This window comes from Homo sapiens, chromosome 16 (assembly GCF_000001405.40).
Source record: "Homo sapiens chromosome 16, GRCh38.p14 Primary Assembly".
In the NCBI taxonomy this organism is placed as follows: domain Eukaryota; kingdom Metazoa; phylum Chordata; class Mammalia; order Primates; family Hominidae; genus Homo; species Homo sapiens.
Window position 1 is genome coordinate 87,845,928 of NC_000016.10, and position 13,945 is coordinate 87,859,872.

At 58.9% G+C, this 13,945-nt stretch overlaps 1 protein-coding gene and 1 non-coding gene across 2 annotated transcripts in view, besides 9 other annotated features; one reads left to right on the forward strand and one right to left on the reverse strand.

Moving 5' to 3' along the window:
* The window catches only part of SLC7A5 (solute carrier family 7 member 5), a 39,485-nt gene that overhangs the window by 15,905 nt on the left and 9,635 nt on the right, over positions 1–13,945 (reverse strand). The window contains exon 2 of the mRNA NM_003486.7: positions 5,797–5,922. Coding sequence (NP_003477.4) covers positions 5,797–5,922 — 126 coding nt within the window. The remainder of the gene's footprint in view (positions 1–5,796; positions 5,923–13,945) is intronic.
* Positions 3,447–4,353: an enhancer, noted in NCBI's record as "H3K27ac-H3K4me1 hESC enhancer chr16:87882980-87883886 (GRCh37/hg19 assembly coordinates)". NCBI's record gives its function as "activates a minimal SCP1, AML or CMV promoter by ChIP-STARR-seq in naive H9 embryonic stem cells {active_cell/tissue: H9 hESC(naive)}" and the evidence as "EXISTENCE:reporter gene assay evidence [ECO:0000049][PMID:30033119]".
* Positions 3,447–5,259: a biological region, named in NCBI's record as "hESC enhancers GRCh37_chr16:87882980-87883886 and GRCh37_chr16:87883887-87884792".
* Positions 4,216–4,510: an enhancer, noted in NCBI's record as "tiled region #10585; HepG2 Activating DNase matched - State 5:Enh, and K562 Activating DNase unmatched - State 25:Art". NCBI's record gives its function as "activates a minimal TATA promoter and a strong SV40 promoter by Sharpr-MPRA in HepG2 cells, with weaker activation in K562 cells {active_cell/tissue: HepG2 | K562}" and the evidence as "EXISTENCE:reporter gene assay evidence [ECO:0000049][PMID:27701403]".
* Positions 4,354–5,259: an enhancer, noted in NCBI's record as "H3K4me1 hESC enhancer chr16:87883887-87884792 (GRCh37/hg19 assembly coordinates)". NCBI's record gives its function as "activates a minimal SCP1, AML or CMV promoter by ChIP-STARR-seq in naive and primed H9 embryonic stem cells {active_cell/tissue: H9 hESC(naive and primed)}" and the evidence as "EXISTENCE:reporter gene assay evidence [ECO:0000049][PMID:30033119]".
* Positions 6,166–7,071: an enhancer, noted in NCBI's record as "H3K27ac-H3K4me1 hESC enhancer chr16:87885699-87886604 (GRCh37/hg19 assembly coordinates)". NCBI's record gives its function as "activates a minimal SCP1, AML or CMV promoter by ChIP-STARR-seq in primed H9 embryonic stem cells {active_cell/tissue: H9 hESC(primed)}" and the evidence as "EXISTENCE:reporter gene assay evidence [ECO:0000049][PMID:30033119]".
* Positions 7,072–7,979: an enhancer, noted in NCBI's record as "H3K27ac-H3K4me1 hESC enhancer chr16:87886605-87887512 (GRCh37/hg19 assembly coordinates)". NCBI's record gives its function as "activates a minimal SCP1, AML or CMV promoter by ChIP-STARR-seq in primed H9 embryonic stem cells {active_cell/tissue: H9 hESC(primed)}" and the evidence as "EXISTENCE:reporter gene assay evidence [ECO:0000049][PMID:30033119]".
* Positions 7,567–7,806: an enhancer, noted in NCBI's record as "active region_11341". NCBI's record gives its function as "activates an Ori minimal core promoter by ATAC-STARR-seq in GM12878 lymphoblastoid cells {active_cell/tissue: GM12878}" and the evidence as "EXISTENCE:reporter gene assay evidence [ECO:0000049][PMID:35858748]".
* MIR11401 (microRNA 11401) lies at positions 7,969–8,037 on the forward strand. The gene has a single exon (NR_162122.1). It is a non-coding gene; the product is annotated as a microRNA 11401 (primary transcript).
* Positions 7,980–8,885: an enhancer, noted in NCBI's record as "H3K27ac-H3K4me1 hESC enhancer chr16:87887513-87888418 (GRCh37/hg19 assembly coordinates)". NCBI's record gives its function as "activates a minimal SCP1, AML or CMV promoter by ChIP-STARR-seq in primed H9 embryonic stem cells {active_cell/tissue: H9 hESC(primed)}" and the evidence as "EXISTENCE:reporter gene assay evidence [ECO:0000049][PMID:30033119]".
* Positions 10,008–10,196: a silencer, noted in NCBI's record as "fragment chr16:87889541-87889729 (GRCh37/hg19 assembly coordinates)". NCBI's record gives its function as "represses an EF-1alpha promoter that drives an FKBP-Casp9 reporter gene in an ReSE screen in both phorbol 12-myristate 13-acetate-treated (for megakaryocytic differentiation) and untreated K562 erythroleukemia cells {active_cell/tissue: K562 | K562(+PMA)}" and the evidence as "EXISTENCE:reporter gene assay evidence [ECO:0000049][PMID:32094911]".

The following is a 13,945-nucleotide window of genomic DNA, read 5'->3' on the forward strand; positions in this document are numbered from 1 at the left end:
GGCACCGGCAGAGCCCCAGCTTCCCCAGCCTGTCATCCTCCCGAGGCCGACGGCACAGAAGAATGGCAGGCCCAGGACACACTGAGCTCCCAGAGCAAGCGGCGGGTCAAGCATCCTTTATCAACTGCGAGGTCTTCGAGGCCCAAAAGAGGTGCCCTGAGTCGCGAAGTACCCACCCTTGGGGCAGCCAACGCCGCAGCCCTGGCTCCAGGCCCAGGTTGTCCGGAGTGGAGCCACACTCGAGCCTGGCACCAATCTGGGAGCTCCTGAGCGCAATGTCCTGTCTGTCCCTGCATGACCCTGAGACTGTCTGAGATGCCTCACAGAGAGATGCCCTGGAGTCCCCCACAGGCAGGCCAGCCTGGAAGCTTCTCTGGAAAGTGAGCTTTGGCAGCTCGAGGCCGAGCTGTGGCCGACTCCTCCCTTGGTTAACACAGCCTGTACCCAGCTGGGATTCACTTTGAGGCCCTGGGGCTTGCCCTATTTCCTGCCAGGAGAGCGGGGCCCGAAGCTCCATCCTGTCCCCCAAAACTCAGACGTGGAAGCCCTAACCCCGGTGTGGCTGTACGTGGACATGGGGCCTCTACAGATTAAGGGTAAGTGGGGTCCTCAGGGTGGGGCCTGATCTGACAGGATCCTTGTCCACACAAGAGGAGGCCCCAGACAGCTCACTCTCCCACAAGGAAACACAGCGAGGGGGTGTCTAGGAGCCAGGAGGCCGAGCACCCCGCCCAGGGCATCAGGGTCCCTGGCCTGGCGGGGCCTCTCACCGACTCTCCCGCCGGCATCCAGGTAGCAGGGCCCTGGCACCAGACCCTCTGAAGCTGAGACCCACCCACCCAGGCCTGCTCCGCTCTTGCTGTCACCCCCGGAGAAAGCGGCAGTCAGGGCGTGAGGTGAGGAAAAGGGGCTGTTGGACCCTGCATGGCAGTGGCTCCCGTGCCGGGGACGCGGTGAGCCTGGCCTCCTCCCTGCAAGGGAGGACAGCCCATTTCCCAGGGGAAGACACCGAGGCTCAGACACCCTGGCCGGGGGGCGGCAAAACTAGAATCCCAAGGCAGCTGCACATCTAGCACCTGCCCTTGCCCTCTCTCCGGGAGGGCACCCTAGAAGCCCACAGTCCTGATCTGGGGTTCGGAGAGCAGGCTGGGCTGAGCTCTGCTGGGAGCGCCTAGAAGCCCAGCTATGGGTCCACGCACACACTCAGGTGAAGCCAGGCCCAGAAGAAGGAACAGCTCTAAGCCACAGCCCAGGGGGGCTTCTCAGTCCACGAGGCGACCCCTCCACACCCCAGAGCCACAGACAGCCAAGGTGTGGGTGAAACGTTTTTCTCACCAGAACAGCCCAGCAGCTGGGCATGTGCTGTGACCACTGAGGGGGCCTTTGTCAGAAACATCGTCTGGGGGCTGGACGCCCCCACCCACAGGAAGAGGAGACCAAGACAGGGCCGCACACCCCCAGCCAGATGAGGGCCAGATGAGGGAGGCGGCACCTCTTCCTCCAGGAAGCTCCTCAGGAGGGACATCGGGAGGGGCTCAGGGGGCTGCCTTCAAGGAAGCTCAGTGAAGCTCAGAGACCAGTCTGAAAAGGAATGTCCTCCAGACCTCCACCCTCTCAGGATGGACGTGTTACTCAGGAACTGTCCCGTCAGCTTTTCCCGTAACACATGACACCCCACGTGAACCTCCCAAGAGCAGATGGGCCCAGTGCTGTCCACCCGAACGCACCTTGGGAACAGAGGTGTGGGCCTCCCCCCAGCAGCGCATGACCCTGCACACTGCACCCAGGGTCACAGTGGGGGTGGGGAGGGACCTGCCCACTGCTCACGGCTGTGGGACCTGGGGCAGGGCACCCCACTTCTCTGAGTCTAAGGGGCCCTACTAGCTGAAGAACCAAAGGAAAACCATCATTTCAAAACTGTCACGTGACACACAAATGCAGGCCCCTGCCCCACAGCCCAGTGGCACACACGTATTTACCGCCTGGGACACGGGACCGTCCAGAAGTGCCCTACTCATAGGTGTAGGTCACATCCAGGGGTCTCGGCCACCGGGACCCAGGGCCCAGCAGCTCAGCAAAGCCATTCAGCCGGGGTCTGAGCCCTGCCCAGGGGAAGCATTTTCCCCTCCTGGGGTGAAGGACAGCAAGAGGCACGCCGCCCTGGCAGGCTGCGGCTTTCTTTCCTTTTTGTGGACAGAGTGAAAGGGCAAATTTGCTCCAGGGGAATACTGACCTCCAACAGTACAATGTGGGAGGAGAAGGAAAAGAAAGTTTTTATGCAACCTTTTTTTTAAATCTGCCCAACTATCCAATCTGTAACTGTTCAAGGAGAGATTAGTTTGTTCTGCCGCTGACGGCTGCAGCCCAAGCAAAGCACAAAGCGCCCCATTGTGTCCTCCAGGAGGGACGTGCTGCTGCTGCTGGGCTGGGACGGCAGAGCCTGTGCCCTCGCTCCCACCCTCCGCCCTGCAGGCGAAGGCCCAGCCACCCTCTCCTTAGGCAACAGCCTGCGAGTGGACTCATGGGACGGTGGGTCAGATCTGAACCCTCATGAGTACTGTCTCCCTTTCGAAAAGGCTGGGACTAACTGTAGAACCTCATGTGACACCTAAGCCTGCGTGTCCCCATGCCCCAGCCTAGGGGCAGCCATGACTCCCCCAAGACGCGGAGGAGGCAAGGGCTCCCGACCACTCAGGCCCCTGCAGAGTCGCCCCTGTCACTCAGCCAGCTGCCCCTCCCAGCCCGCATCTCAGGAAAGGCCCAACCCCTCAGAAGGGCTTTTCTGGTCTGCACCAGGGCCCCGCTTATTCCCCACTGCGACTCTCCCATTCACGTGCCTATGGCTCTCAGGTCCCCCCATGAGCTCTGGATGCGGGGCCATGTTCTCATTGGGACCCGGCATAGATGCGGCACACGGGACAGAAGATGGTTCTGCGGATGGCCAACTGGGAAGGGGTGATTACAAACTTCCCTGACGAGGAGGAAACAGGTCAGCCAAGGCCTACAGGACCCTAGGGCCAGTGCCTTTCCATAGCACAGGGCCCACCTGGGGGCCAAGGGCAGCAAGGAGGAGCCTTTTCAGCCCCAATGGAGCAGGGCACCCAGGGTGCGGGACAGGCAGGAACAGGTGCGTGGGCCAGGCCTGCTCTGCCAGATTTTCGCTGCATTCTCCAGACCCGGAAAGGGCCACTTGCCAGTCGTTGCAAAATTGAGGCCGGAGTCTCTGCCTTGAAGTATCTGGGGGCGCTGCTGCCAGGTGCCAGCGAGGGGAGGGGGCAGCTGCCCAAGGGCTTTGCGTCCACTGGGGGGTATAAAGTTGGACAACTGCTTTGGGAGAAAGGGGTCAACACAATGTATCTTCTAAAAGCAAGGCATTCATCTGGTAACAAAATAAATCTGTTGAAGCCAAACAGGAGACAGGAATTCTGCAGACACTGCACTGTATCCCAAAGCTCAGAAGGGAATTGCTGGGGGGAGCACGGTGGGAGGACGCTTTCAACAGCTAACGGAATTATAAACCTATTATGTATTCAAGTCGAACAAAAGCTCTTTGCTCTCCCTACCGAAATTTGTTTTTACAAAAATCACGTTCCCCTCCTAAATCTTTCCTGGCTATCTGATGAGCGCAGCCAAGCAAAGGCCTTCACGAGCAAAGCACCCCTTCCGTGCCCACTTCTGGGAGGCACAGGATGGATTTGTCTCCTGCCCGTAAAATGTCACTCAGGCCCAACCACCTCCCTGGGCAACTTCTGAGTGCCCGGGAGCCATGGAATGAGCTCGTCTTGCCTTGAGTAAGGTGCCGGAACCTGAGGTCCCAGGAAGGTTCAGAATTGGGACTTCCTGCCAGCCCTGTCCTGCCAGCTCTTGGGTGGCTCTGGTACCCCGGGCGACTCTGAGAATCCCTGGTCAGACACATGCATGGGGGATGGGCTCGAGCTCCTGAAGGATTGACCTGGGCAACCTTCCAGAGCCACCTGGGAATCAAGTGGGACTTCCCCTCGACGATGAGGCAGGTAACTAACACCTGCTGCAGACTTTGTACAGATTGATACATTTGATAAAGACAGTCTGGCCCCAGCCCCTGGAGCTCGCCTCGCTGTGGTGAGGTCAGTATAGCCCGGCACTGCATCCCCCTGCAGGCCCAGGTTACCTGCTTGGTGTGGAGACCCCTCCCCAGCTGCAGCCAGACTTTGTCCTAAGGCGAAGTGCCACGTACAGCCAGCAGGGGGCGCCAGGAGCAAGGCGGAGGCTCAGCTAAAGCTGCGTGCTGGGTGCTGGGTGCTGCGGGGCACTGTTCAGTTCACAGCCCACCAGTGGCACGGTGCACACAGGAGAGCCTCCCAGCCCTGAGGCAGGGCCCCACACAGGAGGAGGCAGCGTCCTTGTGTCTGCATGTTTTGGCCTGGCCGTGCATGGGGGCGGGGCAGCTCACAGCTTGCTGGGTGAGGACCTTCCTGCCTCTAGGAGCAAGGTCCTTGCCCTGTCCTCTGCAGCCCTGGGGTCCTACCTGCCTCCCCTACAGCCATGTGGGACCAGGCAGCCTCTCTGCAGCCATCGGTGACTGCGAGTCACCAGAGCGTGCATCCGCCGGGTGCCTGCACTCAGCGAAAGCTCCACAGCTCCAGGACTGGGATCATCTCTACCTGAGGCTCTGGGAGAGAAGAGAAGGAGGCCAGCTCCTAACTGCTCTGCTCCTAGGCTGGCTCCAACATGGATGGAGACAAACTCAGAAGGAACTGCAGACAGAGGCATCCCTGCTGGACTCAAGCAACAGGGCCCCCCACTTCAACTGTACCCAACCACGGGTGGGATCCAGTGCCAAGGACAGTGTGTCCCAGGGTCTGTGACCACACAAATGGGAACTGCTTATGAAACCCCAGCCCGACCTCACCGCGGAATGGCAGTGTGGAAAGGGTGGAGGCTCTGCAGGCAGACACAGAACACAGATCTATGGAGTGTGTGTTAAAGGGTCCAGAGACACCCAGCAAAATACCAACTGTGTCAGTCCACGTCAACAGAGAACACAGGTGCAAAGGGGCGGGGGCTGTTTCACACTCACTCTCTTTATTCCTTCTACCAGCCCCAAGAGAAAAAGCAGCTGGGAAAAAGGCTCAGAATCAGTGATTTCCCCAAGATCACACAGCACAAGACCAAAGTCTGGGCCAGCCAGCCTTAAAACCTGTGCGCCAGACTGCTCTCACCTGTTCCCGAATGCTAACAGTGGACACGTCTGAGTGATGGGGTTACCACGTTTGTTTTGTTTTCCATGCTTACCTCATCTTCTTTAAAAAGCAGACAGAAACACAGAGACAATCCCACACCTGCCCATGGAATGATGAATGAATCACAGCATGACCAGGAGCATGGCCCCGTCGGGGGTGGGTGAGGGGCGACAGCACGTGGGACTCTGACAGACCCAGGGTGAGATGGCTCGGGTGAGGTCTGCATGGCAGGCATAGCCCCTGCCAGGCCTGGAATGTTCCACATCGCCCCCAGGTGAGGTTACAACGCATCAGCTGGGCTCTCAAGATTCACAGACATCGCAGCGTAAAAAACAAGAAAAACTGCCAGAGCCCCTCCCAGTGGTGGCCACGCTGTCCCACGGGAGCACTCCTGTGTCCCCCTCTGGGTCGGATTTCACTTGCTGGGTGATTTTCCCAGAGGGAAATCTCCACGTTGTACAGCACTGCAGAGCTGCGGACTGGGAGGCACCCGGGGACGGGACCTCATGCCCTGTGAAGGACACACAGGCAAAGCCTCGAGGGGCCGCCGGTGGGGCCTGGGGGACGTACTCACCCTTCCCGATCTGGACGAAGCCCAGCAGGATGATCAGGGCCAGGGCCAGGAGCTTGGCGGCGGCAAAGGCATCCTGGACCCGGGTGGCGGCCTTCACGCTGTAGCAGTTCACGGCCGTGAGCAGCACTGTGGAGACAGAGGGCAGCGGTGAGTTCCACGGGCAGACAGACGCCAGCTCAGGGGTAGGCTGGGAGGTGACGACCCCACCCCCACCCCAGGGCCAGGTCCACCAGAAAAACAAGCTCCTTAAACAGCTCCAGTCCCCTGCCAGCCCTTAGGGCACGTTCTGACTTTCTGAGACCTGTTTTGATAAACTTCGCAGTCCTTTCAGGTCTAAGGGCTGGATCCCAGGTGCCCCTTAAGATCTGCAAGGGACCTTTCCTCACCCCCCACCACACCAGGCCATGGAGTCCCACCTGTAGTCAGGACTTCAAGTGGGGTCACTGCCTCCAGAGACCCAGGTGAGCAAGGTGACCCTGCCACTTGGAAGGCGCCCATTACACCTTTTTGTACCTACTCAGCACCCTGACCTGACTGTGAGACCCACGCACAGCCCGACTGCCGGACTCCATGAGGGCGGGGCCCTTTCCTCAAAGAGGATCTTCTGTGGATTCCAACAGAAGTGGGGTGTCCCGCTTTCCCGGAACTACCTGGCCAGTCACCTGGGGACGGCAGCCTGGGAGGGGCCACAGGGGCCTGTGGTGAGCAGAGCAGACCCTGCTGCCCTGCTGCTTTGGGGGCATACGATGAAACCCAAAATAGCACCGTGTGCTTCAGAAGCCTGAGTGACCCCACACAGATGGCCAGAACGCCTGCCCCAGGAGGCGCTGAGATGTGGGGTCAGGCACGCTCAGACAGGTCTCCAGACACCAGCACGTCCTCCTGGGCCCTGTAAGGCACCCAGCTCTGAGCCTCTGTGTGTGTGTGTGTGTGTGTGTGTGTGTGTGTGTGTGTGTGTGTGTGTTGGGGGTTCTGTTGCAATATATAGGCACGCTGAGCCACTGTGTGTGTGTGCGTGTGTGTGTGTGTTTTGGGGGGTTCTGTTGCAATATGTGCGCACGCTGAGCCACTATTCAGGGATCTGTGAGCTGGTGGGGAAACAGCCACCCCCACAACTTAAAATGAAGTAAAATCATATTAATCCCGAGGCACTGACTCCACGACACCCCTCACTGCCTGCTGCACTACCCTTCACTCCTCTGCTCACGAGGTTATCTGTCGCTGTCAGCAGCTTGAAATCTGCCAGTGGGAACGTCTACACCCCAGAAGTGGGCAAAGGCCCAGCACGGGCCACCCACACAGCTCAGATCTCACAGCCCTCCCGGCACCGCACCACTAAGACTGCAGGAAGGTGAGAGCATCAGAAAGGCCGTGGGCTCCTCTTCTCTCTTTCCCCTTGGGAGTAACGCTCAGAAAGGTCTGGCCAGCCAAGGCCTTGAGGACTCCAGTGGCTTTTCCCCAGCTGAACAAATCCTGTGGAATCTTACAATGTAAGCAACAGACCCCGAGGAAAGACATCCATGCTAATTAACTAATGACACCGGAAACGTCCTGAGGTGCGGGACGGGCTGCCGCCTGCCTATCTCTCAGAAATTAACCACCCCGCTACAATTCTGTGGATGCCAGAGCGGAGACGGCTACTACACACCAGGAAAGTCTGGTTGAAAAATGTCTGAAAGTCAGTGTTTTCGCTGCTATTCCTAAAATAAAATACTTGAAATTCCGGAACTTCCACTCCTCACCCAAACTGAAGAGGTGATTCTTCACCTCTTCCCAGGGCTCCCAGGGACATGGAGATGTTACCAGTCCAGAGCTCTCCAGTCCAACCCTCAGGGCTCAGCAGGGTCAGGTCAGTGGGTCTAGGCAGCTCCTTGTCCGCTGCACAGGGCAAGGGGCAGGTCCTGGCTTGCCAGTCCCATTTCCTTATGGTTGGGGGGAGCACGACCATAAAAGAAACTGAGCCTCGGGGACCTAGCCGGCTTCTGGAGAGCTTTCTGGATTCGCAAGAGGCCGGCTGATTGCATCACTCGCTCATTCATGCCCGGAGGGAGGCGGGGAGTGGGTGTGGCCAAGCCGCACTCGAGGCTGCCTCTCCCCAAAAGGGAGAGAGGCACGCTGCCACCACTGAACTCCAGACACCAGACAGGCGCTGCGGAGACACTGAGCACTGCCCTCGCGGCTGTCACGTCTGCGGCTGTCACGTCTGCTAGGGGGTTGGGGGGTCCAGGAAGGGCAGCGAGTTGCCCAGAATTGCCCAACCACGGGCTGTCCTGCCACACTGACGTGGTGCTGGGTAATGACGCCATCAGGGCTGTCACTGTGGGTGGGACAGAGGCCAGGACCCCCCCGCCCCCCCCCCCACCGCCAGCCTGACCCTGCCTGCCCAGTTCCAACCCAGCCGCTCCCCAACCAAAAACAGTCTGGAGGGGCTGACGGGTGCCACCGGGAGGGTTCACCAGATCATCTCCTGACGTTGGAAATAACCACAGGACAGACAGGCGGGGGCCGGGTCTTGAAGTCAGGTGGGGAGCAAAATGGCCATAGAACAAAGGGGACCTTATATTTATTCCTTTTATAACAAGAACATAAATTTTCATGTTCACTGACTTTGGGTGATGAGTAAACAAAGGTTTCATTATTCTCCACAGTGTCCTTTTTTTTACGTTTTAAGATGAGATAAAATCTTAAACAAATACATGAATTCATCTGGGTTCAGTACCTTTCGACCTTAAGGAGGCGAGGCAGTCACAGGATAAGTCTGGGGTTTGAACCTCAGTCCCTGCTGGCACTTGCCCTCTCCCAAGCCTCAGTGTCCACACCATGGAGGGGCTGCTGGCTGCCCCCACAGCAGGGAGATCGACAGGGCTGTGCCCTGAGTCAGAGTGAGGGGGCTGAGCACACAGGGCCAGCCACCCCCAGATAAGTGTGGCCGCGCCAGCCTGCGGGGACAGCTGGGCCAGGAGATAAAACCCGTCCGGGGATACCCCGTGGCGTGGCTTGGCTTGATTGGCAGATAGCCGGGCAGGCTGAGCTGGGGGCCCCTCCCAGTCTGGGGTGCTGTCTTCCCCGTCCTCACCTGGCTGCCTCCCACCTGGCTGGCTGGCAGGGGCTCCAGAGGAGCTGGGGTGCCTTGGGGGCAGTGCATTGGAGGAACCCCTGCCCTCCTCCTCCCTTCACCTGTGTCTCCACCACCCTTCAGGGCCATCAGCCACAGAAACATCCTCATCTTCGGGTGGGCATTGACAGCAAGGCCCACAGCCCGGTGAAGGAAGGACAGCCCTGGCCATACCCAGAGCCAGCGCCAGGGCCTTGGCCAGGACACCTGTCACAGTGAGGCCCAAGCTGTGGTCCTGGTCCTGACTCAAAAGCCACTTCAGATACCCTGAGGCTCACGCAGGAGGGATTGGGGACGCGGCCAGCCCATTTCTCCTCAGGACCCTGGGGTGGGCACCAAGGCCTCCCACTGCTCTCGCCACGTGCCCTGCTGCTCAGAGCTGGGGCGTCCCGGGGAGGTTGCCACCACCCAGCATGAGGTGGGGGACACCCCCACCCCCTTGTGCCTCCCCATCTCTGGGGTGGGGCCGGCAGTGATACTGACCTCAGAGACCATGCAAGAAGGCACCTGAACAGGGAGGGCCCACAGACGGGACAGGTGCATACTGCTGGCTGGGCCCACAGACGGGACAGGTGCATACCGCTGGCTGACCCCCCAACTCTGCTCAATCACACACGTGCACACACACGCACAGCACCCCCACAACTTGTAAACCAGGAGGCTGCCTTCTCCTGGCCCCTGGCCTTACCCCTCTCCCCTCGGGGGGATGACTCTCTGAGGTGCCTCCCTGCCTGATGCCCGTGAACGCTCACCTCTGCGGCAGCCGGCTCTGCTCACCTCCCCTGATGCTGGCATCTTGGTCTCCTGGCCCCAACTCTGTCCAGCTCCTGATAAAATCCCGCTACAAGCAAAGGGATGATCCCCCAGGGTCCAGTGTTGGAGGAGAGGGGTGGGGGAAGGGCCAGTAACAGGTGTGTTCAATATGGAGAGCAGGTGGGACCTGTGGGCCCCGGCTGGGTGGGGACCCCGCAGGCCCCATGAACCCACCCCACACGGACTAATGCCTGATTCTTTCAGGTAATAAACATGTACCAGGTACAGGAGCATCCGTGGATAGGGTTCAGGGTCAGCCACAATGAAAATCCTCTCTGTTGGCCACAGAGGCTGCTCCCTGGGCCGCCGGTCCTCACCTGCCCCCGAGCCAGGCACAGCAGTGAGTCCTGCAGGGCTCAGCACCTTGGCCTGTCTGTAAGTGGGAGTACCCAGTGAACATGATCCTCCCGGGCCCCTTCGAGCCCAAACACAGCCACTGTGAGTGCCCCAGGCAGGCGTCCAGCCCAGGCAGGCATCCTGCAGTCCCTTCTGTCATTTTCAGACCCAACAGAAACAGAAGTGCTCCTGCCAGGCCCCCGAGGACTGCCTCCAGGAGTCATCTGTAATGACAGGCTGTGTTCCGCGCACGGTTTCAGAGTCTGTCCAGAGGGCCAATGCTGGGGCTGGGGCAGAGATGGTCCAAGGCCTGTGAGCTGTGCAGCTTTATAGGCAAATGACGATTGTTTACCCAGAACTGCCTGCTGGAGACAGCACAGAGGAAGTGGCCGGCAGCTTCATCAGTTCCAGGAAGCCCAGGCAGCCTGGTCCCCCAGGGTGCACCGGGCACAGCAGTTCGCACGGGGCCGGAGAGCGGCAGCTGACCACAGCAACTACAGCTGGCCCGACACCGGGCACAGGTACCAGCCCAGCCCAGTCCCGCCCAGTGCAGCCTGTGGCCCCTAGCGGAGCCAGCACCTGGCAAACCTGACACCCAGCCTTGGAGCTTGGGCCCCCCTCTGCAGCTGGCTGGGGCTCCTGAGACAGCTTCTTTGTCGGAATCCACTCGGTACGCACAGGGCCCCGAACTTGGTGGCTGCCCAGTGCACATGGGGCTTTAGTAGAACCAGTACCTTCCTCCCTGGCCCCTTCAAGTCTAAATATCCCCTGCTCTGAGTACAAGCCTCCACCTTCTCCACCGACAGACAGCCCCCACCATCTCCCGTGTCATCCCCCGGGGGAACTTATAAAAGCAGTGGTGGGGGAGGCGGATGGAAACCCAGAGCTTCTGATCAGGCAGGTCCGGGAGATGGAGACAACACATCTGCACAGAACAAGGTCCCAGGGAGGCTGGTGCTGCCGGCCTGGGGAGCGCCCCCAGCACAGGCGCGTGCTTCCCTGATGGACACGTCACCGCCCCGGGCTCCAGAAAATGAATGTGTCTGACCCAGTGACCCCTGTCCTCACCCAAGGCCAACCTCACCCCAGAATGGGCTGGAATGCCAAGCCTGCCCATGCCGGCTCCAGATCCACCTGCCTCCCTGCCACTGCTGGCCAGAGAGAGAGGTCAAAGTGGTCCGGAAACCCCAAGGAAAATGAAGCAGTTCCGGGGCAGGGAAGCAAAGGCAGCGTTCACATTTTTTTTTTTTTTGAGACGAAGTCTCGCTCTTGTCGCCCAGGCTGGAGTGCAGTGGTACGATCTTGGCTCACTGCAACCTCCGCCTCCTGAGTTCAAGCCATTCTCTCACATCTACCTCCCGAGTAGCTGCAGCCTCCGCCTCTGGGGATCAAGTGATTCTCCTGCCTCAGCCTCCTGCCTCAGTAGCTGGGATTACTGACACCTGCCACCACACCGGCCTAATTTTTGTATTTTTAGTAGAGACAAGCGTTCACCATGTTGGCCGGGCTGGTCTCGAACTCCTGACCTCAGGCGATCCGCCCACCTTGGCCTCCCAAAGTGTTGGGATTACAGGCGTGAGCCACCGCGCCTGGCCGGGATGGTCTGCTTATAATGGCTCAATTTTGATGCCCAGTCTCTGCAGAGCACAAGGCCCCACCTTTGGGCCGGACATACAGATGTCCCTGGGCAAACAGAGAGATGATCCCAAGGCCCTGGCCCCACCTGTCTGCTCAGTGTTGAAACAGATTTCTGTGAAAACAAATTACTAACAGGCTGGTGTCACATTTTCAAATTCTGTCACCAGCCCTTGAACACATGTCTTTGTACTTTTTTCCATTTTTAACCGGGGCTGAGTTACGCCCAACCACACTGTCCTGGCTGGCACGGGGGAGGAGGTGTCAGCTGCTGTCCAGAATGGGGCTGACACATTCATTTTAAACAGGCCAGGAAGATGCAGATTTGGCAAGCTCTGAAATTTGCCAACATCCCAAGTCCAGGGTAAGCAGGAGAACTGGAAAAGGGCAGCTTCTCATGTGGTCAGGTTCTCCTGACACAAGCGTCCTGGTGGATTTGGGTTTCCCAAGGGTCCTGACTCCAGGAGACCCCCAGGGCTGACAGGAAGGGCCACCGCTCCCTCTGAAACTCTGAAACCAGGCCACCCGGTGCTGAAATGCTGTGTGAACTCCGGCAAGTTCCTTTGCAGGGACTGAGCCTCCCTTTCCTGTTTCCAACAGACTGGAACAACTGCCTCCTGCTGCATGGGCGAAATACCTCGCGGACGTGTCTTACGGCGCCCCATGAAAGCATCACCATTAATCTGACCAGTCACCGCAGCATGAGTATCTTCAGGGCACAGATGAAGCCGTGGGCACCAGTGATAAGGAGTTGCCACTGCTGGCTAAGTGCGGAGCCTCACACATCTGTGGTCCGGAAACCCACGCCCCACTCCAAACCCTCTACAGCTCCAACAGTTATGCTAACAAGAAAAAGGAGTGAAAACCCGCTCCAGTCACGGTATTGTGGAGGTGGAAGGACACTTGTGGCAGCCAATCCAACACCTCCATTTTATAGCCGGGGTAAACGTAGTTCAGAGAGGTTGTCCCACTTGGTGAAAGTCACACAGCAGTTCCTGGGCGGCAAAGTGAGGACATCCAGGTCTCCTAAATCTCACCCTCGTGCTCTGGCCACTTGACTGGGATTTTCAATCCCGGCTGTCAAAGAGAAGCACCAAGTCCACTTGGGCTCCTGGCCAGCGTCCAAGCCAGTCCAACTCAACAGCAAGCGGAAGCAAATACCACACAATGAACTCGTTGAACAGACTCTGCGCTCAGGCTTAACCAGTGCACAGCCTGTACACCCGACAGGAGGATGCAGCTGTTCCAAGCTAAGGCCAGGGCCTCTCCCCAATCCCGATGGGCTCTGCAGATGCAGTGATGGAAGAATCCCTGGTGACGGGGAGCCCTTAGCTCTGAGCAGGACCTGAAGCCATCTCAGGGCTTGCACCGGCCCAGATGCTGCTGCACAAGTGCTCCAGGGGCTCCTGCCCTGCCCTCCTCACCTGCCCCCTCACCTGTCAGGGATGTTTGATTCCTGGCTGGCCCCTCCCCTACCTGACCCCTGCCAAAGACCCACGTCACCCCAGGCTTCCAGCTCTGAAGCAAACGACCAGAGAAGTCAAGCGCCTGGCTCCGGGCCACACAGCTTGAGGGACTCAGAGCTCCAGGGACAGTGCCCGGGCCCTGCTCAGGCCTTCTGCAGAGGCCCTGGGCTCTTCCAGTTGACTCAGCTCACAAGGCCCCTACACGGTAGCAGGTGAAGACAGGGCCCCAAGAACCCTCAGGCTCTGAAGCCACACATGAGAGCCGTGGACAGAATCCTGCATTGGCCTCCAGCAGCTCGAGAGCACAGGGACAAAGCTGGACTGGCCCCGGGGTCACCATGGCCTTGGTTTTGTAGCAGCTGCAGTTTGAGCACGTACACCAAAAATAAAATTCTAAGCCCCGTAACTGACTAAAGGGACCCCTCCTATTGCCAAAGGGATATTCCAAAGTTAACCTGAAAAACGAGCTCAGGTCACGATGGGAAGAGGGGGTCACACAGGCCTTGTTATACCCCCTCCCTCTGGAATTCAGGTACAGCGGACCAGCACTAACACTCAAACACAGATCTTGGCCTGGCTCAGTGGCTCATGCCTGTAATCCCAGCACTTTGGGAGGCTGAGGTGGGCAGATCACGAGGTCAGGAGTTCGAGACCAGCCCGACCAACATGGAGAAACCCCATCTCTACTAAAAATACAAAATTAGCCAGGCATGGTGGCGGCAGGCACCTGCAATCCCAGCTACTTGCGAGGCTGAGGCAGGAGAATCGCTTGAACCGGGTTGCA